The 21,176-nt window shown below is 54.4% G+C and overlaps 1 protein-coding gene across 4 annotated transcripts in view, besides 6 other annotated features; it reads right to left on the reverse strand.

Annotated features, from left to right (window-relative positions):
* CASZ1 (castor zinc finger 1) overlaps window positions 1–21,176 on the reverse strand; it is a 160,043-nt gene that overhangs the window by 86,204 nt on the left and 52,663 nt on the right. The window lies entirely within an intron of this gene.
* Window positions 4,777–5,574: an enhancer, noted in NCBI's record as "H3K4me1 hESC enhancer chr1:10787641-10788438 (GRCh37/hg19 assembly coordinates)". NCBI's record gives its function as "activates a minimal SCP1, AML or CMV promoter by ChIP-STARR-seq in primed H9 embryonic stem cells {active_cell/tissue: H9 hESC(primed)}" and the evidence as "EXISTENCE:reporter gene assay evidence [ECO:0000049][PMID:30033119]".
* Window positions 5,575–6,371: an enhancer, noted in NCBI's record as "H3K27ac-H3K4me1 hESC enhancer chr1:10788439-10789235 (GRCh37/hg19 assembly coordinates)". NCBI's record gives its function as "activates a minimal SCP1, AML or CMV promoter by ChIP-STARR-seq in primed H9 embryonic stem cells {active_cell/tissue: H9 hESC(primed)}" and the evidence as "EXISTENCE:reporter gene assay evidence [ECO:0000049][PMID:30033119]".
* Window positions 11,251–11,300: a silencer, noted in NCBI's record as "silent region_253". NCBI's record gives its function as "represses an Ori minimal core promoter by ATAC-STARR-seq in GM12878 lymphoblastoid cells {active_cell/tissue: GM12878}" and the evidence as "EXISTENCE:reporter gene assay evidence [ECO:0000049][PMID:35858748]".
* Window positions 12,014–12,516: an enhancer, noted in NCBI's record as "H3K4me1 hESC enhancer chr1:10794878-10795380 (GRCh37/hg19 assembly coordinates)". NCBI's record gives its function as "activates a minimal SCP1, AML or CMV promoter by ChIP-STARR-seq in naive H9 embryonic stem cells {active_cell/tissue: H9 hESC(naive)}" and the evidence as "EXISTENCE:reporter gene assay evidence [ECO:0000049][PMID:30033119]".
* Window positions 12,014–16,377: a biological region, named in NCBI's record as "VISTA enhancer hs2094".
* Window positions 12,242–16,377: an enhancer, noted in NCBI's record as "VISTA enhancer hs2094". NCBI's record gives its function as "enhancer in: hindbrain (rhombencephalon)[5/5]" and the evidence as "EXISTENCE:transgenic organism evidence [ECO:0001131][PMID:17130149]".

Below are 21,176 nucleotides of genomic sequence, written 5' to 3' on the forward strand. Positions count from 1 at the left end.
CTCTAGGAAGAGCTGGCGCCAGGGCTGCATGGGGCAGACACTCTCCCCCCCAAAAAGGCCTGCCCCCGCACCCCAGAAACAGGCCCAACAGGATGCCATCCGGGGGAGCTTGGAAGCCTTCCGGGAAGAGCACTGCCCTGGCACCAGTCCTGCGGGAAGGAGGTGAGCCGGGTCTGCCACTGTCTGCGCTCACCTGATGTGCGCCCACGGCAGCTGAGCACCAATGGGGTGTGCGTGGGTGCAGACGGGAGGTGCGCATCATGGCGCCAGGAGCCAGAGGAGGAAGGGCAAGTGGCTGGGAGTGGCAGCAGGCTGGCTGGTCACTGAACAGTGCCCTGGCTGTAAACCGGACGTGGGAAGGCCCCGCCTGCCAGTGTGGATGGTGGGTGGGTAGGGGGACAAGAGGAAGGGTTTCATCTGAACACCCAGCCAGAGGGGCCCACCTCCCCCTGGCCTGTCCATCACCACTGCACAGTGAGTGGGGGCAGGCCTTGCTTCTACTTCACTTGTGCCCATACCACAGTCACTCACAGATACAGCCTCCTAGGGGGCTCTGGGGTGTGGGGGCTCTCACTGTGCCATGATTTAGAGCCCCTTTAAAACCAACCCATCTGTGCATTAAAACCACCCATAAAACAGAGGAGCCACTGGCTGTGGCTCTGAGCAGTCTATTCAAGCCAGGCGCCAGCCTCTCACCTGCTGCCTCACCCCTGCCCCGGTGCCCAGCCTGGGGGCAGCACATGCCCTGTTGGACACGGCAAATTTGGGTGGGGTTAGGCCAGCTTCCTGGCACTGGGCAATGGGGTCCTGCGCTTTGCAGGTGCCTTTCTCATGGCTTAGAGGAAAGGACCCTCCAGGGCATCAAATCAGCAGCCCTGGCTGGAAGCTGCCCCCATCTCTGAATCTTCCTTGGCCCTGTCTCCCACTCTCTTTTCTCCATGGCCTGGGTCCTTCAGGACTAGATGCCCAGGAAGCTCATCCAGCGGTCACATTTCCCTCTAACTCCCCCTGCAACCTGGCTGCTCTCACGGTCAGCTTCAGTCCACCCGTCTCAGGTGGCCTCCCCAGTTCAGCACTGCCTGGGTCATGTGCCCCAGCCCCAGAGCCCACCTTCTCCTCTTCTTTGGGGGTTCTTCCCGAGTCCAAACCATGCCAGCAGGGGTTCAACCCTAAACTCACACCCAACCGCTAGCACCTGCCCCAGCCTCCCATATCACTTTGGATTCCTGGTGAGGACAAGTCCAGTTTTCCAAACCGACCTTGGAGCTCTTTGACCACAGCACACTTTGGGAGAAGGTGGAAGAGTCCTCCCCATCTTTGCCAAAAGAGGTGTCAGGCTAACGTTACACCAGCTTTAAAAATACCCCAGCACACGATCCACAGGGTGAGAGCAAAGGCCACGTGGTCAGAGCCGGGCTATAAATAGCCAGCAAATCATTTCCCAGAGCCACGGCCCCCTCCCCAGCACCAAGAACCTTTCTGAGGAAATCAAAGTGAACGCAACTGTTACCAAGTCACTACTAAAATATTTACCAGCCTGGCGAAGTGCCGAAGGTGCTTGGCACCGAGTGTTTGCTTATTTACAAGGCTGTTTTAAAGGGTAGAAAGCAAAATAAGGTAACCTGAGCTATTAAACCCGGGGGCCAGGTGGTACCTACCAGCTGTCAGCCACCCCAGGCATGTCGGGAGCTAGAACAGTCCTGGTGGAGATTCCCTTGAAATGGGTCAGGAAAGCAGAGAGAGGCTTTGGAGCCCAGGAATCACCTAGCCCTCAGGGGTAGGGGCTCAGGGAGTGGGAGCAGAGAGTGTTAGAGGTTAGAGAAGCACTTCTCCCCCAGCCAAAGCAAGCAGGGCCTAGCACGAGCTCCAAGGTTGCCCCTGGTCTTCGCTCAGAGGGGCACCCCAAGGGCACTGCCCAGCCAGAGGCAGGGGCAAGGGCCCTGGGAGGGAGAGGCAAGGCGGGGAAGAGGAGGCAGAGGAAGGCAGGTGGGGGGCTGGCTGGGAGCCTCGGAGGATGACATAAGGGGGACACAGCCAACCTGGGGAAGAGAAGGTGCTCAACTTCTCTCTTTCTCCTCTTTCTCTGAAGTTTCCTTGTGGTTTGAATTTAATTTTGATTTTCTCAACTTCAGCAGATTGAAGTTGAAATAACCTACAAATTACTTAATGTGTTGTAAATCTGGGGGAATTCAGGAGTAATTGGGACCACATGTTGGCCGGGAGGGAGCCCACAGAGGACGGAGGGAAGCAGCCCTCGCAGACGTGCAGGTGGCTGTTCTTCCCTGGAGGGAGGGGGCTTGGGCTCCCCTCGGTGGGGGTAGGATTCCCTAGTTGGCCAGGGAGCCCTGGATGGATACGGCGAGAACGTGTTAAGACCAAGGAGTGACCATGTCACTGCCCAGGGCAGCCCGGTGACCGTGGACACAGGGCGGCCAAGTAGGCTGGGTGCCAGGCGTCTGCCAGGCCCCTCCACCGTGCCAATGCCAACACCGTGGCCGCCTCCCGCTGCATGCGTGTGGCTGTCAGCTGAGCTCCCCTCCCGCCCTCCCTCTCCGGCAGGCTCCTCTCAAGTACTGAGCCATATGGTTCCAGTTAAGCTCCATATTTTTCCTTGTCGATTGAAGAGACACACTTTCCTCTTTGCCAGACAGTTTGCAGATTGCTCTGTTGGCTCAATTTCTTATTGGATTTCTCAAAAAACCTGACATTTTAAATTAATTTACAGCCACAACAAAAAGAGTTCAGAATTTTAATGGTGTTGTAAGTAATTTTTAGGTAATCCACTCCAGATTTTGATATTAACCTTTGAAACTGGAGTTCATTCAGCTACCATGTTACAATCCAGTCACACTCCAGGCCTGGGGGAGGCCAGGCTTGGGGAGGAGGTGGAAGCCAGGTTCTGGAAAGCCCTTTTTTTTTTTTTACTAGGAGACCCCAGAGAGGATGATCCTGGGGAACCCTGGACAGGTGAGTGACAAGACAGCGGCAGTGGGGTGGGGAGGGAATGGCAAGGGGGGCCTGAAGACAGCAGGGCAGGTGTAAGAGAGTCATTGAGGGGGCCAGAGGGCCTGCCGAATGTTCTAGAAGGATGGGCCGGACTTAGGAGGGGGCAGCATCCTCAGGATCCCTTAGTAGCAAGAGCAGGGTGAGGCTCCACCTCAGTGCACTAGGAAATAATGGTAATAGCAATAATAATGACAGCTAGCATTTGCTGAGCAGTCACTATCTGTCAGGGGCTGTACCATCTCATTGATGCCTCCAACCACCTATGGGGCAGGGCCTATACTATCACCACCACCACTACTACCAGTACTACTACTACTGCTGCTACTACCACCAGCATGACCATTAATTGTTAGTGTTTATGGAGGGCTGACCGCGTCCCAGGCAGAGTGAAGTCGGTTTTATAAACCACCTCATTAAACAGCAACAGAAACCCTGTAGGAGACACCACTGTTCATGCCCTCATTTACGGAGGAGGAAATGAGGCTTGGGGAGGTGAAACCGGGTCTCCCCAGCTTGGGGCTACTGACCAACAGCCACGCTCTGGGATGCCGCCATCCTCAGCCTACTCCGTATCTCCTTTCAGAAGATGCTATGAAATACTCATGGCCATCACAGTCCTCCTGGCTGGAGCCGGAGGGAGGAGGAGGGCGGTGTAGTCCTCCAGGCTGGCCAGGCTGGGGCCGGTGGAGGATGCCACCTTTTCCTCGTGCCGCCTCAGGCCAAGCTGAAGGCTGCATGCCAATCCGGCCAGAGGAAACACCGGGCACGGGGAATGGAGCCCTCGCCAGCGTCTTTACTAGGCCCTGGCGCTGTGCGGCCCCTGCCTGGGTGCGGTGCCAGCTCACTACACCAGCAGATCGTTAGCATTCCTTTCCTGCAGGAGCTGCCCAGGGCACCCAGGAAAGGAGACATGAAGATGAGGCCCAGCCAAGGCCGCTCTGGTCCCTGGGGGGTCCTTGCTGCAGCAATCACCCAGGCCCTGAAGAGAGGCCAGGGAGAGGCTAGCATGGGGGTGTTCAGAGGCCCAGGGGGTCTTCCCTGGCCTGCTCCGTGTCCTGGGGGAAATGGTTCAGGGAATGAATCAGCACCTGCCAAACCCACTGAGGTGTCAGGTAAATAGCACCATGTGGGGCTTCCTGGCCAGTTTCTCTATCACGAAAGCCAGGACGGAGGGGAGGGAGACCGGGAGAGGTGACTGGCAAGGTTTTCACTTTACCCACTCTGGAAGAGAACACAGCCTGTGAGTGAGGAGGACTGAAACGAAGGCAGAGGGGGAGCCATGGGCGCCAATGTCAAGCCCAGCCCACCAGGGAGGGTGGCATGGAAACAGCCTGGAGAAGGAAGAGGGAAAAGGGAGAGGTGGCCAGGGGTAGGGAGAGGCCCGCGACCGTCCCAGGCCTGTGGGAAGCTGGGAGACCAGGGCGTCTTGCAGGCAGGGGCTGCAGAGCCATAAGGCACCTGCTGTTTGAGCCCAGCCCCAGCCCCCACTCCAGGTCATCGGCCATCCAGCTCTTCATTCACAACTCTCCATGTGTGCTATTCTGGGTACCAGGTTTGCACAAGGCCTTTTAAGTCCAGAAAAGAAAAAAAAAAACAACCCAGCCTCCCAGAAGCTCACAAACACCCCAGCTCCTTGAACCCCCGGGCCCAGGGGATTCAGCACAGCCCAACAGTGCCCCAGTGCCCACCCTCTGAAAGTTGGGAAGCTTTTACGGTTCTGTCCTGAAGGACTCTCTTCCTTGGTCCCCATAGCCCCCAAGCCAGGTTCCTAGACTCCAAGAATGAGAAAACCCCTTTCCCAAGGTGCCAGGAGTTACAATAGGAACTTCTGCCTTCCCACCATGTCCAGGAAGAAAAAGTGTCTGCACCCTAGGGTTCAGGGTGCTAGGAAGCAAAAGTGGAGCTGAGAAGCTGGCCTTCACCTCGTTCCTGATCAGAGGCTGAGGAAGGCCAGGCAGCAGCTGCCAGGGCTGCCCTCAGCCCTTGCCCAGACTGTGCCGACCTGGGAACCTGTGGAGCCCCTGGCTAGTGGCCAGACAGCATGTATGAGTGTTGGGGGTGAGCTGGGGGGAGAACTCAGGCTTGCCATGCCCCGGCACCATGCCAACACGTGGAAGGTTGAACTAACCCCGGGCGCGATGCCACGTGCCCAGAAACTGGGCATCTGCTGGCACAGCAGCACGTGAAGAACGAGGGGTCCTACCACCGCCTATGCTCCGGGCTCCCCGTCAACACATCGCGGTGGTAGGTCTGCTCCTTCCCCACATGGCACTGGGTATGGGGCCTTCCAGTGTCCCCTTGGCACCATGCCTGCCACATACTGTGGGCTATCCCCATTGGCACCAGGCCGCACACGGGAGGACTCAGACACCCTGCTGGACTCTAGCCAAGCTCTGAATGGCTCTTCCCACTGGCCTGAGGCCATCAACTGGGCACCTCTGGGTTTGGGCCCCTGGGACCATCCATTTACTCTAAGGGCCCATGGGACCACCCTCCCGCCCCCTCTGTGCCCACAGACAACCACGCACCATCATTTTATGGACCACGGGAAAAGGTCAGAAGCTTTTGTAAAACTAGGTGCAATGTGCAAACTATCTAAAAATGAAAATGAACGTCCTTCCCCTCCGGTCACCAGGACAATCCTGTCCCACTGGTTAAATTTTCATTTGTGTTCCAATCGAGGGCGCAAACCCCAGAAACTTTCTGAATTGTTTCTCTCCCCAGCTGTCTACTGGCCTCTTGCTCTCTTTCCAACTCTTTCTTTCTTGGCTTCTTTTTTTAATTATTATTATTTTATTTTTTATTTCCCCCTCTTGGTCAGGTTAAAGCGCTCCTGAGGGGTGATTGACGGGGGTTGCCATGGAGACCCCGGCTTGAAAAAAAGCCTCGTTAGTTGCCAACTCTGTGTGTTGTTGTTTTACAACTGTGACCGACCGTCACATGAGAGGGGGGACAGCTGGGGGCCGGGCTGCACAAAGGGGAATGGCTTTTTAATGGAGTGCCTGGCCGGCGCTTGAAGACTCAATAAAGAGTTGCTGGTGAGTCCCCTCGCTGGGCCGGGCCCAGCACACGGGGGCCGCAGGCCCTTTGTTCCACAGGAGCTGGGATGGGAAAGTTGGGAAAACCAGCCCCTGAGAGGTGAAAACAAGAGGCCTTCCCCCCCCACTCTCCGGACAGCTATTTTCTGTCACTCTCACGGTGCCCGGACCGAGGGGACAAAACCCTGTCTTGGACAGGCTGCCATGCTGGGGGAGGCGGTTGGGAGGCAGCTGGGGGAAGGGGAGTGGGGAGGAGAGGGAAGGGGTGGGGAGGAGGGGGCGGCCGGCCTGCGGCTCCTGCCCCCCAGGCCCTCGGCGTTGAAGGCAGGTGGCCAATGGGAAACTAGGCCGCTGCAGGGCGGGAGGCCAGAGGGCCCAAGACAGGCCTGCGCTGGCGCTAATGGGAAGCAAGACGGCTGCAGGGGGGCTTCCTGGGGGAGGAGGACCAGGCTCTTCTAGCTGTGGGCCAGGAGCATGCACACATTCACAGGCTGGCACTGCGGGGCAGCCGGGCCCAGGTGGCTCCTCTCCCTCTCCCCGGCCACCCCATGAGAACTCCCCCACCCCCTTAGCTATCTTTCCCACCGCAGCTCCTCATCTGTCCCGGACAGTCCAGGGAGCCAGGAGGAGTTGCTGAGTGGCAGTCCACCATCAGGCCAAGAACTCAGCCCCTTCAGATGGCAGAAACCAAGTGCCAGAGCCCTGGGGGGCTTAGGGGAGCAGTTCGCAAAGCGTGGTCCGCAGGCCTCTTCCCGAGACCCTCTCAGGAGGCCATAAAGTCCCCATAGTGGAACACAGTTTCTACGTGCCCTATTCAACGTGGGGACATTACGCTGACAGCGCAAAGGCAGCGGGTGAGCGGAACTGCCGGCGTCCCGGCACAGACCACAGCAGTGTGTGAGAAGGCATGTGTTCCTCAGCACACGCCCTTCCAGCTCGAGAAAAGCCATATTCACTTTATTTTATTTTTTTTTTTATTTTTGACATGGAGTCTCGCTCTGTCGCCCAGGCTGGAGTGCAGCGGTGCTATCTCAGCTCACTGCAACTTCCGCCTCCCAGGTTTAAGCAATTCTCTGCCTTAGCCTCCAGAGTAGCTGGGACTACAGGCCTGTGCCACCACAACTGGCTAATTTTTGTATTTTTAGTAGAGATGGGGTTTCACCATGTTGGCCAGGCTGGTCTCGAACTCCTGGCCTCAAGTGATCCACTCGCCTTAGCCTCCCAAAGTGCTGGGATTACAAGCCATATTCACTTTATTTATTTATTTATTTATTTTTCAGACAGGATCTTGCTCTGTCACCCAGGCTGGAGTGCAGTGGTGTGATCTCGGGTCGCTGCAACCTCTGCCTCCCAGGTTCAAGCAATTCTTCTGCCTCAGCCTCCCGAGTAGCTGGAATTACAGGTGCCCACCACCTCAGGTGATCTGCCCGCCTCGGCCTCCCAAAGTGCTGGGATTACAGGTGTGAGCCACTGCGCCCGGCCCCATATTCACTTTAAAATGTCCTTGATGAAGCTGCAAATATGATTAACTTTTAGGAAGTCTTGACCCTCGAGTATGCATCCTTTGAATATTCGGGGAGGATGAAAGGGAAGCATGCCTAGGGCCTTCGAGTCCAATGCCTGTCTGAAGGACATGGACCCGTGTGACTGAGCTGAGAGTGGAACCAGCTGCCTGCTCCAGGGAACACCATCTTTACCTGAAAGAGTGACTGACAGACAAATTGTGATTTTTCAGATTTGAGTGTTTGGCAGCTATTTTCTCAAAAGTGGACAAAGTGGGCCTGTCACTTCCAGGGGAAAAAAACCTGACAATATTTGTTGCCAATGATAAAATCTGAGCTTTCCAGTGAAAATCAGACTTTTGGAAAACTTATATCTGCCACTGCAACCTTGACGGCATCCTAATACTTAACAGCTTTTCTGATGAGACCAGTAATGATACTAATGACTGTGATTTTTAAAAAACATCATATAGGCTGGGTATGGTGGCTCATGCCTGTAATCCTAGCACTTTGGGAGGCTGAGGTGGGTGGATCATGAGGTCAGGAGTTCAAGACCAGCCTGGACAACATAGTGAAACCCCATCTCTACTAAAAATACAAAAATTAACCGGGCATGGTGGCGTGTGCCTATAATCCCAGCTACTTGGGAGGCTGAGGCGGGAGAATCACTTGAACCCGGGAGGCAGAAGTTGCAGTGAGCCAACATTTCACCACTGCACACCAGCTTGGGCGACAGAGCTAGACTCCGTCTAAAAAAAAAAATCATATAATGAAATGTGTCAACACTCTGAAGACCTGCATTCCTCAGTGAGCCAGTATTTTCCACATAACTGATGTGTGAGGTTACAAAGTCTCACATCAGGGAATGAGTCATTCAAAGTGCTCATAGAGCAGCTTGAGCAACATAGTGAGATCCCATCTTTACAAAATAAATAAATAAATAATTTAGCTGGGCGTGGTGGCTCATGCCTGTAATCTCAGCACTTTGGGAGGCCGAAGCAGGAGGATCACTTGAGCTCAGGAGTTTGCGACCAGCCTGGGAAACACAGTGAGACCTTATCTCTACTAAAAATAAAAAAAAAGTAGCCAGGCATTGTGGCATGCGCCTGTGCTCCCAGCTACTTGGGAGGCTGAGGTGGGAGAATCCTTTGACCTGGGAGGTTGAGGCTGCAGTGAGCTCTGATTGCGCCACTGAACTCCAGCCTGGGTGACAGAAAGAGACCCTGACTTAAAAACAGAAACAAAACACACACAGAAAAACAAAACGAAGTGCTTATAGATCAGTGGGGTTTACTGAAACAGTACACAAAGTTCATTGATGTGGTTTCAGATTCCACCTTGGAACTAACCTGTGAGAGTCTGTGATAGTCTGCAAAGGCCCTTGAGATACTCCTGCCTTTGCCAACTACACATCTGTCTCCAGCTGGATTTTCTTCATAGACTTCAACCAAAACAACCTATCAGAAAGGTTATGCGAAAGAAACTTGCCAAAAAATGTAAAGCAACTCCACTCTTCTCACTAAAATTTTGTTTTGGAAAATACAGTTATTCTCAAAAATATGTTCTTTATGTTAACACATCATGGACTTATTGCTGTTATTTTTTAAATGAATTAATAAATAATGATTTTTAAAATTTCTCAGTTTTAATGTCTTAATATGCTAAATATCCATATATATAATCCATGCAGGCCAGGCATGATGACTCATGCCTGTAATCCCAGCACTTTGGGAGGGTGAGGCGGGAGGGTCACCTGAAGTCAGGAGTTCGAGACCAGCCTGGCCAACGTAGTGAAACTCAGTCTCTACTAAAAATATAAAAATTAGCCAGGTGTGGTGGCACAGGCCTGTAGTCCTAGCTACTTGGGAGGCTGAGGCAGGAGAATCACTTGAACTCGGGAGGCAGAGGTTGCAGTGAGCCGAGTGCAACTGCACTCCAGCCTGGGTGACAGAGCAAGACTCCGTCTCAAAAAAAAAAAAAAAAGAAAATATATATATATATATTCCACACAAACCAAAACTTTAAGAGCCCCAATACTTTTTAAGATCATAAAGGGTCACTGAGACCAACAGGTGTGAGAACCACTGTCTTGGGGAACTAGGGGCAGAAAATACACGTGGTGGAACGCAGTGGAGTAGGGCTTCAGCTGCGATGATTCTCTGGCCCACAGCTGGCCTTAGAGGTGGTGTGGGCCTGCTTCACTGATGCTGCCAGGATATCTGAGGGGAATTACACATCACATCCTAGGTGAGAGATTCAACCTCGGGCAGGATGGTGACCCTGGGATGCAGAGGCAGAGGAGGGGGAGATGGTCCTACAAGTAGTAAAAGAATCACCCGGGGAGGTGGCCCCTTCTGCCTTGGACTTGAAAAGGGTCTGGCTCCCATGGTGGCAGCAGCAGTGCAGGGGACGTGGGATCCAGGTGAGGTAACACTGCCCTGGGCCACACTTGCCCCATCAGGGCATAAGGAGGAGCTGGTGGAGAGGGTGCCTAAGAATTTAGAGCCGAACAGGGAGTCTTGCCACCAGTGTGCAATTCACAGGATGCCCTGGGCCCCTTCCCAGGGACGTGTTAATTATCTTCCCCCACTGGTCCCTGGGGGTAACCAGGCTGGAAATGAGCAAAGGCGGGCTCTGGCTCACCTTGCTCTGTTCTGCCTGGGAAAGCCCATGGTCCTCGGCCCCAGGCTTGGCTCTAGAGCAGAGATGTGGAATTTTCCAGGGAAACTTCAAAATCATCACTGAGAGGGGAAGACATTTGAAAACTGATCTTAAAGAGGAGAAAGGAAAGAAAGAGGGCAGGCCAGGCTTCCCAGGGTCGCCTCCAGCACGGGGGACTAGATGTGAAAGACAAGGCTGTGTGTTTTCATTTCACACCCAGAGTCCCCAGGACAGGACCCAAACTTGACCTGGGGCCCCAGATCATCCTTCCTCCAAGAATGTGAAGCTCAGGGACACACAGGCTCTGTGGCCTCTGCTGAGAGTGGCATGTCCGACCAGCTAAACCTCTGTGTCCAGAGACCCTGACACTCGCCACTGCCGAGAGGAAGCTCATGGTACAGCACCCTACCAGGGCCACCTGCACGCCTGTCCATCCCACACACTTCCCAAGAGCTGGCTTTGTATCAGGGACCACATTAAATGCTAGAGGCTCTTCAGGGACAATGGCAAAAAGGGCTCCACCCTCACTGGTCCCTGCTCTCAGAGGTGAGCAGAGAAGTTACCGGGCAACTATAACTCAGGGACGGGCACTGAGACTGTAAAGCTGTGGGAATATATGAAGAGAGGCCCAACTCAGTCTCCACTAATCCTGGAAGGCTTTTGGGAGGAGGTGGCATCTATGATAAGACCTGGAAGATGAGCTCAGAGGAACCAGTACAGTGTAGTCAGTACTGGGCAGCCTGGACTCTGGGGACACAGCTGGGTTGGAATCCTTCCCTGCTACTTCTTAGCTCTGGGATCCCCAGCCTTGGCCCCCTCTTCTATAAAATCAGAGGTGATATTGGCACCTGCCTCACAGGGCTGCTGAAGGAGAGTCCATGAAATAATGCAGCTAAAGGGCGTGGCACAGCACTTGGCACATACTAAGCAGTGAATAAATGTTAACTGTTACATTAATAACTAGCGAAAGTGCTAGTCTCACCCCTAACAGGTCCACCTGGCCAGGCCCCCAGGCCGACCCAACCAGGCAGAGCCACCAGCCCAGGAGGAGCGCTGGTACATCCCCAGCCCTGCTCTCTCAAAGTACAACAGCACACATGGGTGGGAGGGGACAACCCCAGGGCCTGCCCGAGCAGATGACAGGCAGAGGTGGCAGCCGCCCCCCTTCCTGAGCCTGTGGAGTACTGAGCACCACTCATGCTGATCTCAAGGAGTGTGTCTTCCAGCACCGAAACTCCAAGTCACCTGCCTGGGAAGAAGCAAGAAAAAAAAAAAAAAAAATCCCATGGCCGTGCCCTCCCTTGGAAAAAAAAAAAATTCTAGGAAACAAAATACAACGACATCTTTTTATTTTGTTTTTTTTCGGTAATTATACTAAAGATGAAAAACTCATAATAAACATCTCCCAGTCCCCACCTGCTAACAGTAATTATAATAGACTCAACAATAAATGGTAAAGCAGGGCAGAGCTGCATCTCGGGAATTCTCTAGGGCATGTGGATTAGCTCGGAAAGCCTGAATGATTAAAATACACTAATTAAAATTTTGTGTTCCTTGGTAACTCGTCTGCCTGGGCCCCTGGTGTTGGCAAAATGGGAATTAACGTGACAAAAGCAACACAGAGGGTTTTTGTTTTAAGTAAAGAAAAAAAGAGAGAGAGAAAGAGAGAGAGAGGGAGAAGGGAAGATCTATATAAACAAGTTAGACACCAGGAGAGAAGAAAGGCAATGTGGTTTTCTCTCTTTCTCTAACCGGAGCACCACAATGTTTGGGGGTGGAAGGTGTATGGCACAGTCCATGCCATTAAGGAGAGGGCCCTTTACACCTGCCCTGGGGTGCCACGGAGGATCTGAGGAGCATGCATCTAGGGGTCACTGTTTAAAAACAATTACTGGAGAGAAGAGGGTGGGAGAGAGAGAAGTGGGGGGCCACAAGGGCCCACCCAGTCCGGCTTTCCAGAGGCATCCCTTGAGGGCGGCCACATACTCTCAACTCCCCGCCCCATGACCAACGGGACCCTGGGAGGACGCAAGGGAGCTTCTACCCCATTGCAGTTGCACAAAAGAAATTGAACACTTTTGAGTTGCCCTTAGCAACCTAATTGCATCAGTACATTGCACACAGGAGCCAAAGTAACTGAATTTTGATGAAAAGACGGCGGTAATTTACGGCATCACAAAATTAGTTGTCATGGCGACGGGTTAATTACATCTCAAATTAACAATGCAAGTGTGGTGAAATTAAATATAAATCATATTTTCTGCATAAATTATAGGGGTTGATTAGACCGGGGCTCTGGGAGAGGGAAAGGTTGAGCCGCCACGGGCCCCAAGCTGCATTCTGAGCTGACGAGAGAGGCGCCTGCAAACGCAGGCGAGGCCCGGGAGCTCTGGGAGGGGACGGGGGACTGGCGGAGTCAGGCGCCAGGGCTGCCTCCCTCTGCTCCCGCTGCCACTTGCAGGCTCAGCCAGCTCCACGCAGCGCCAGGGCTGTCCCCAAAGTTTGGATCAAACTTTGCCTGGGGGAGGGGGTGTGCTGCAGGAAGGAGGGATGGCTGGTGCCTCTTAGCCAAGTGCCACGGACAGAAGTTTTGCCTTTACCCATCCCAAATGACTCTCCCGGTTTCTGTGCCCTGAGCTCTCAGAGAACCCACCACAGATGGCCAGCTGAACCCTCAGTTCCTTCGGTTAAATGAGGTCAAATGCTTTTCAAGTCACGGGCATCTGCCTACCAAGGGACAGGCCCAGTGTCATCTGACAGGCCATCAGTGCCTCGCTCTGGGCTGCACCAAGGGGACACTGGGAGTTGTAGGTAGTCAGGGAGCCCAGAGGCAGTGGCTTAGGATCAGGGGCAGCCCCAGGCACATCAGGTTGAAAATGTGCTTTTTCAGCCAGCTCTGGTCAAGTAGCTGCCCTGCGGACACCACTCTCTCCTACCCAGGGGCAGGGCAGTTTGACCTCCTTAAGACAGGGGGAGAATGCAGAGCATTAAAGGCAGAGGAAACCCCAAAGATCACTCTGTCCTGCAACAGACCACCCCAAGTCATGAACGATGTCCCAGTGGCCACACCCAACCCCACCCACCTGTTGCTGATGGGCGGTACTGGCAGCATTTCTGGGCCCTGCCACCCAGGACCACTGTGCCAAGTTCAGCTCAGTCTCCAGGAACCCCCAAGCCAGGCAGCTTCACCAGAATGCCCAACTGATGGACGCTTCAGAATCGCACCTGCCTCCCTCACACTCCTGGTCCCCATCACTCAGGTCCTAGAGAACACACACGTAACTCTGGGCTCACGGTCAGCATCTGCCACCTGGACAAAGGGATCAGCAGGCAACGAGACGGGAGCTCCAGACCTTAGTGAGCAGCATGGCACTGAGAACCCCGAACCCGGGGAGTCCTCAGGCCCCTCCCTGGGATGTTCTGATCCCGTGAGTCTGGATGGAGCCGGGCTTGTTGTTTTTAACCTGCTCCACCCGGGATTCTGATTTGGGCAGTCCCAGACCCACACTTAAGAAACGCTGGCAACACTGCTACTAATCCCATTTTGCAGATGAGTACATGGAGTCCAGCAAAGCGTGATCACTCCCCAAAACACACAGGGCAGAGCGGAGATTCAAACCCAACTCTGAGTTCTCATTCATCACCTACGAGGCCCCTCTCTCAAGGATGTGTCGGGCACCATGCCAGGCCACGTGGGAAATAAGGACGAGTGAACCACCAGCTTGTCCTTGAGGAGTACACGGTCTAGTAGCGGACACAGGGCCAGTTAGACAGCCACAGCCCCACGTGTCCAATCCATCACTGAAGGACAGGGACGTGGGAGGAACTATGGGGACAAGGGGAAGGCAGGGACTGGCACGCCTGGGTGGGAGGTGCCCGGGCCTGCAGGTGCTCCTGGGGCCGTGGGCTGGGCTGAGTGCCCACTGGAGCTGTGCCACACTTCACCTGGCCCAGGTGGGAGGAATTTCCTGAAAGGCTTCTGCAGAGAGGGGGAGAAGGAAGGAAGAGAAGGCCCTTGGCAGTCCCCTGACCACGGATGTACATGTGCAGTTCATGAATATTTCAGTGGCCATTTATTTATCCCTGCTCCATCCAGCTGCTGGGGCCACAGACCAAGGTGGATAAATATAGCCACTGGGCGATCAATGAGGCATCCGCTCCCCACCCAGCCACATCCATTAGGCCCCTCGTTCCCACAACCTGCTGGCTGGGCACCTTGTCCTGCTCAATTGGTTTCCGATTTTCATTAGCGGTGGAGGCACAGCCCCGCTCCAACCCTGGGCGTCCCCCTCACCCTCGTGGGCCCTCCCCTCTCAGGCTGGGCATGGAGCCCAGGGCTGCCGTCAGCCTGGAGGGGCCTTCAGAAGTCCCAGCCCACCGGAGCGGTGAAGTGAGAGAGGACACAGAACTCAAGGACCAGACCTCACGTCCTGGCTGCCCCGCTGGAGGGCAGAGAAGTGGGTGGGGTTTCCCTAGGACTCCAGCCACCCACACGTGACCCACCAGCGAGCACAATCTAGACACAGAAAGCTGGGCTGTTGTTTGCATACCCTGAGATATCTGGGGGACCTCCCAGACCTGGAAGAAGGGTGCCCAAGGGAGTTACATGGCTGTAAGGGTTGGGGTCTGTGGGCTGCCACGGGGGACCCTCAGCTCCATTAGCCTCTCCTACTGCCTGCAGCTACAAGATCAGCACAGGCCACCCGGGCCTCCCACTCACCAAGGCCAGGGCCTGGCCCCAGCCTGTCGCCCAAAGGAGCGACAGTGGGCCGAGGTGCTCGGAGGGCTGTGGATCAGCCCGGAGGCCCCGGCCCACTCCAGGCCTGCTCTTCCTGCCAGGCTGAGGCCATCTCGGGAAGGCTGGGCACAGCCCTGTGGGGCGCTGGGTGCAGTCAGGCAGTGATGCTGGGGACACAAGCTCAGCCCTGGTAGGGTCCCAGTCCCCTTTCACTCATTCCACAAATAGTCACTCAACACCCACAATGTGCCTCATGTTGTCCAAGTGCCGGTGGGGCAGCCCCAGACAGGACGGCTGCAGGTCCCTCCTTCGTGGAGTTTACCCTTGGCAAGGGTGGGGGTGGGGACGAGCAATCGAGCAACTAATAAATGACAACTAATGAGTTCTATGAAGGCAATAAAACAAGGAGAGTGACAGGGACTGACCGAGAAGAGAGGTGGGGCTGCTTCAGCTACCTCTAAAGAGGTGGCCTTTGAACCAGAGACCCAAGGGAACAGGGCCGCCTGGGCCTTCCAGGTGAGGAAGGCGGGAATGGGGAGCCCAGAATGTCTCAGTCCCGGGACGCTGACGCGGCAGGAAACCCGGAAGGACGCAGAGCACCCCACCCACCCCCTCCTTTTGGTGCCAGGTGGCCAAAGGCCCAGGCCAGTGGCTGGCAGGACGGGTGCCCACAGCAGGCCGGGGAAGGGGGAGGACAATGGCTGGCAGAGAGGCCACCTGCCTGCTGGCTGTGGACACAGGCTCCTCCTCCAGAGCCACTGCCAGGATAGGCCAGGTGGGATCCTGCCCGCACAAGGAGGCTGCAGGGCCATGGGGCGACCTGGGCCAGGGCTTTCTCCAGCCCTTCGACCCCATCCAAACCAGCTTCAGAGAGGCAGGGCCTCGACCCAACTGGCCCTTTGCAGGGAGGACACAAAGGTGGGGCTGAAGGTGAGAGGAAAAGATCAAGCGTAAACCCCACAGGGAGAGGGGGAGGAGAGGGAGGCAGGCCTGTGCCTTTAAAAGAATTTTCATTTAAAGGCTCTTCTCTCTTCCACCATTTCAGTGATCTATATGCAAATATGCTAATGCATGCAAATTAAGACACCACTTTTAGTCCCAATTTAATAGAAAGCATTAAAATACCATTTTTTTTTTCCAAAAAACTCCATATGCATGAAGGAAGGTTTTTTTTTTTTTTTTTTTTTTTTTTCACTTTTCGCTAAAGTCACATTCCGGCAGCAATTTTATGCTGTCAAAATGTTCTCAACAAGGGGAGATTTGACTGGCTTCTCTGAGAACCAGTCATAGGAAGCTTGGGCTCTGCTTCTTATTGAGTTCTTTTTTAAAATTTTGCTGGGGGTCCGGGGGAAGAAGGAAAAAAAGCAACAACAATAACGAGAAACAAGTCACCCAGGCATCTTGTGGAGGGTGGCTGCTCTTTTCAGGCCGGCGGCCAGTCCCCGGGCGTACAGCGTGCGGTGCAACCTGCAGCTGCGGGACGGGTGCATTCACGAGGGGGGTGTGTGCGCCTGGGGGTCACCCCTGCTGTCTCTCTGGGTAGGGGTGCAGGTGAAGCTCACATGTGCCACTCTGTGAGTGTCACCGCGAGGGAAACCCTCCCAGGGGCCCGGGCCCAGGGTGGCCACGGTGAGGAGGAGGAGGACCACATGCGCAGGGAAGGGCATGGGGCACAGCATGTGTGTGGCCCACACAAGGGCGGTCTGCTCTCACTCCCCTCGCTGCTCTGTAATTAAGCTCAGCTGCGCCCACTCAGGCTTCCAGACCTTTCCCTGAGCCCTCCGCCCCCCGGGCCCACTCCCCGTTCTCCCAGCCTTGCTGGCTACTTCCACTCCCCAAAGAGCCTTCAGGGGCCTTCTTGTCGTTGATCAAAACAACAGGGCCACCAGCTCCTCAAGAGTCCAAGCTATAGTTTGGCCCAAATGTCCCGGCCAGGGTGGCTCTGTGTCAAAGGCCCTGCAGCTCCTCCCTCCTGTTTCTCTGGGCCCTCTCTTTGGGGTTCTGGTTCCCGATTAAACCTTGACCTCTCTAGCACATGCCTTTTGCCACCTCCCCCACTGGTCCTGGCTCTTCCTTCCCCGCTGAAATGAGTTGAGGCTGAGACCTGGGAAGCCGCAAGGTGCTGGGATCCCAGACGAGTCCCTCCTGAAAGGGCGAAACTCAGTCGTTCAGGGAGAAAGGGACCACAGCCAACCCACCACACAGGTGGAGCCCATGGACAAGGTCTCATTCCAGTGGCCCGGTGTCACAGCGTGTCCTCATTTGCAGCTAGGATGAATGCCAATTACCACCACCCCATAGGAAAGCTGCCCCCCTGGCCAGCACCAGCCCAGGCGCCTGTTAGGTTTTAGTTCACTCACTCCTCTCTGCAACCCCATAGGATACGAGTTACCGATTCTATGTCACAAATTGGAAGAGTGAGGCTCAGAGAGGCAAGGCCACTTGCCCAATGTCTCACAGTGGCTCAGTGTCGAGGCAAGGCCTGTGTATCTTCCCCATTCCCAGAACCTGCTGGAAGTCAAGGGCAGCACTTCAGGCCCCAGCTCTGCCCCGTTCCAGTGAGGAACCTGAAGCCAGCACAGCCCCTCCCACTAATCCATGCGCCCCAGCCCGGGCTTCAGCTCCACATCTGTATAATGGGAGAGTGAGGTCCTGGGGATCTATGGCTCCTTCTGGCTTATGCCTGTGTAACAGATGGGAGAGAAATGAAGATAGGGCTGAGGGTCCCCCCAAGCCAGGGCTTTGAGGCAGTGTCTCCCCAGGGCAGCCACACCATGGTGGAGGCCCTGAAGGCAACAGGCTGGGAGGCCAAGCAGAGCTCAGAAGAGGTGGGAGAGAAGGGTCTAGAAGCAGGAGGTGGAGGAAGAGAAACTGCAAATTGCGGGTAGGAAGTGCTTAGTAAAATCAGAAAAATTTCAGGGCACAATCGCTCATGCCTGTAATCCCCGCACTTTGGGATGCCAAGGCGGGTGGATTGCTTGAGGCCAGGAGTTCAAGACCAGCCTGGGCAATACAGTGAGACCCTGTGTCTCCACAAAAAAAATTTTTTTTTAAAATTAGCTGGTTGCGGTGGCGCACACCTGTAGTTCTGGCTCCTTGGGAGGCTAAAGTGGGAGGATTACTTGAGCCCAGGAGGTGGAGGCTGCAGTGAGCTATGATCGCTTCACTGCACACCAGCCTGGGCGACAGGGTGAGACCCTGTCTGGACAAAAAAAAAAAAAAAAAGAAAAAAAAGTCTAAAAAACACTTAGATTTTTTTTTTGACAGTCTTACTCTGTTGCCTAGGCTGGAGAGCAATGGCACAATCTCAGCTCATTGCAACCTCCGTTTCCTGGGTTCAAGTGATTCTCCTGCCTCAGCCTCCCAAGCTGGGATTAGAGGCATGTACCTCCAATAATTTTTGTATTTTTAGCAGAGACGGGGTTTCACCATGTTGGTCAGGCTGGTCTCCAACTCCTGACCTCAGGCGATCCACCCACCTCAGCTTCCCAAAGTGTTGGGATTACAGGCGTGAGCCACTGCGCCTGGCTCTATATTGGGCTTTAAACGACATGAGGGCAGGGACTTGTTCAAAGAGGAAAACAGCAAAGCAAAGCCTGGAAAAGAGCCACCAGCAGTTGTCCTGGGGGTGGGGGCGGCAGGGCACAGGGAGCAGACACAGGTGCACACAAGCTCCAGCACTGGCCCAGGCTGAGGGTGCTCAGCGCACACAGCTCTCCAGTAAAGATGAGCATGGGCAGGGCTGGCGTGATGAGGCTGGTCTAGCAGAGCTCACGGTGGAAAAAAGAGATTTAGATATTTACGGGAAATACATTTGTTGGTGCCAAACCCCTGGTTTTATTATCCGGGAGAAAAACAAACCCAACCACCGAAACTCACCCTCAACTGAGAATCCACAAGGAGGGAAACAATTTCCCCATCAAACCAGTTTTATTGGATATAAATATCTAATTATTCCTACTAGGCCCTGGAATGCCAGACATTTTGCAGCTTTTATAACATGTGTAGGAGTCTTTACAAACGACTTTTATACATATTTATATATATATATAGTTATATATTAACAAACCTGATTCGAATCTCATCTGAATTATTTTTTGCTTACTGGGCAGTTTGTGCGTATCTGTGTGTTTTTTCCCCCAAAGCCAGGAGAGATCTAGAACATTTTGGTGCTATTCTGAGACCTAATGTGCCTAACCCAGCAAGCGCCGAGACACGGACCCCTCACCGCTTCTCACGTGCCCCCAGCCGCAACCCCACCACGGCTGCTCGGTGGTTCCGAGACACACTGGCTCCCAGCACTTTGCAACCACAGGGTCCACGGCTGCAAGTCAATACCTCACCCATGACATGAACGTGATGTCCCAAACAGACAGAAGCATTGACTTCTCAAACATCAAGCACACGATTAGGCTTCATGCCACCCCGGTGTCCGCTTTTCAGAAAGCAAGAACCACGGAGGAGGACAAAGAGCTGGGCAGAGGGGCAGGAAGGCGGGAGGGGGCGGAGGAGAGGGGAAGTTGTCTTGCAGGGAATAATGTGGATCAGGCTGTCATCTGGAGACCCATCTTCATCTAGAATTAATGCACTAAAGTTATTTTGTTTTTCCTCTAAATGGTTTTAAAGAGACAGTGAATTCTCGGCTCGGACGCGGGGCTTGGTGTGTAGCTGGTCCAGGCTGTGTAAAGTGAACAGGCAGAGATTCCAGCCAGGCCTGAGTCCATTCTCTCCCCAGTCCCTGGCCTGGCCTCACCTCCTGCCCATGTGCTTTCTCTCAACTTGTCGCAGAAAACAAAGTTTAAGATCCCTGTCTTTCATGGCTCCCCATAAAAAGGCTGAATCTAGAAGTGAAGAACTTGAAATCCTCCAGTCAGGGTCAAGCCCTTATCTGAGCGCATTGAAAGGAAGGAGAGGAAGGGGAATGGGTTGGTGAGGAGTTAGAAGCCTCTGGCCGGGTGTGGTGGCTCATGCCTGTAATCTCATCACTTTGGAAGGCTGAGGCAGGCGGATCACTTGAGGTCAGGAGTTCAAGACCAGCCCGGGCAACATGGTGGAACCCTGTCTCTACTAAAAATACAAAAAATTAGCCAGGCATGGTGGCACACGCCTGTAATCCCAGTTACTCGGGAGGCTGAGATGGGAGAATTGCTTGAACCCGGGAGGCAGAGGTTGCAGTGAGCCGAGATCACGCCACTGCACTCCAACCTGGGCAACAGAGCAAGACTCCATCTCACAAAAAAGAAGAAAAAAAAGCCTCTGAGCAAGAAGCCTGGGCCAGTTCCTGGGGGTGGAGCAGCCCCCTGAAAGCAGTACTGAAAGAGAGCTCGGGGAGTATTCCCAAAGCCAGTTTTCCCCAAATAGGAGTCCCTATGGTCCCTGAAGCTCAGGCAGGGCACTAGAGCCCTCAGGACAGAGGGGCAGAGGCTGGGGGACAGGAGGAGTCTGGGGCATAAACCGGAGAATCCCAGGGGATTCTGGGCGAAATCAGGGTCCAGTTAGCTGTCCCTTGAGGCCCAAGAGGCCAAGGGAGACATTCAAGGGTGAGTGATATTTGGGGAGACTCTAGCCTGAGGCTGGCTGTCCCCACGGTCGGAGAAGGAGACTACATCTCCAAGTACCCCCACTCAGACCCATCGGTTCATGGGGAGAAAGGGCTCAGAATGAAGGAGAGCCCTGGGAGAGCCCTGGGCCTCCACCGAGAACCTTCTAAGTGTACCCCGGCATCCTCCACGTAGAGACCTGTACTCAGGGGGATGGGCTGGGGGCCGGGGGAGCTGAGAACAAACAGCGGCAACAGGAACAGAGTTGAGCCATTTCAATTATTCATATGCCAGATGGATTCTTTTCCTGCCTTTTTTTTTTTCTATAAAAATAAGGAGGGAGGGAGTAGGTCTTATGACAGTCTCCAAAATGGGGGGGCGGGGTGCGGGGGGAGGAGAAGAGGGAAAGGGAGAAAAAATAGAAATCCAGTGCCCTGTTTGTGCCCCTCTCCAGCCTTGGAGAACCCCGATCCCGTGACGGGAGGGCAGGCGGGATGGGAGATGTCTTTTAGGTACCCGATGAGCAGAGAGCAAGAAGCGAGGGAAATTGTTGAGGAAAGGGAGGGAGGGAGGGAGAGAGAGAGAGGAGCGGGGAGCATGGGGCGGCGGGGGGAGGCAGGCAGAAGAGGGTTCTGACCTTCTGTGAAGGATATAAAAAATCCAGCCGCCTCAGGGGACACCCAACTATCTA

Source organism: Homo sapiens, chromosome 1 (assembly GCF_000001405.40).
Source record: "Homo sapiens chromosome 1, GRCh38.p14 Primary Assembly".
Taxonomy (NCBI): Eukaryota; Metazoa; Chordata; class Mammalia; order Primates; family Hominidae; genus Homo; species Homo sapiens.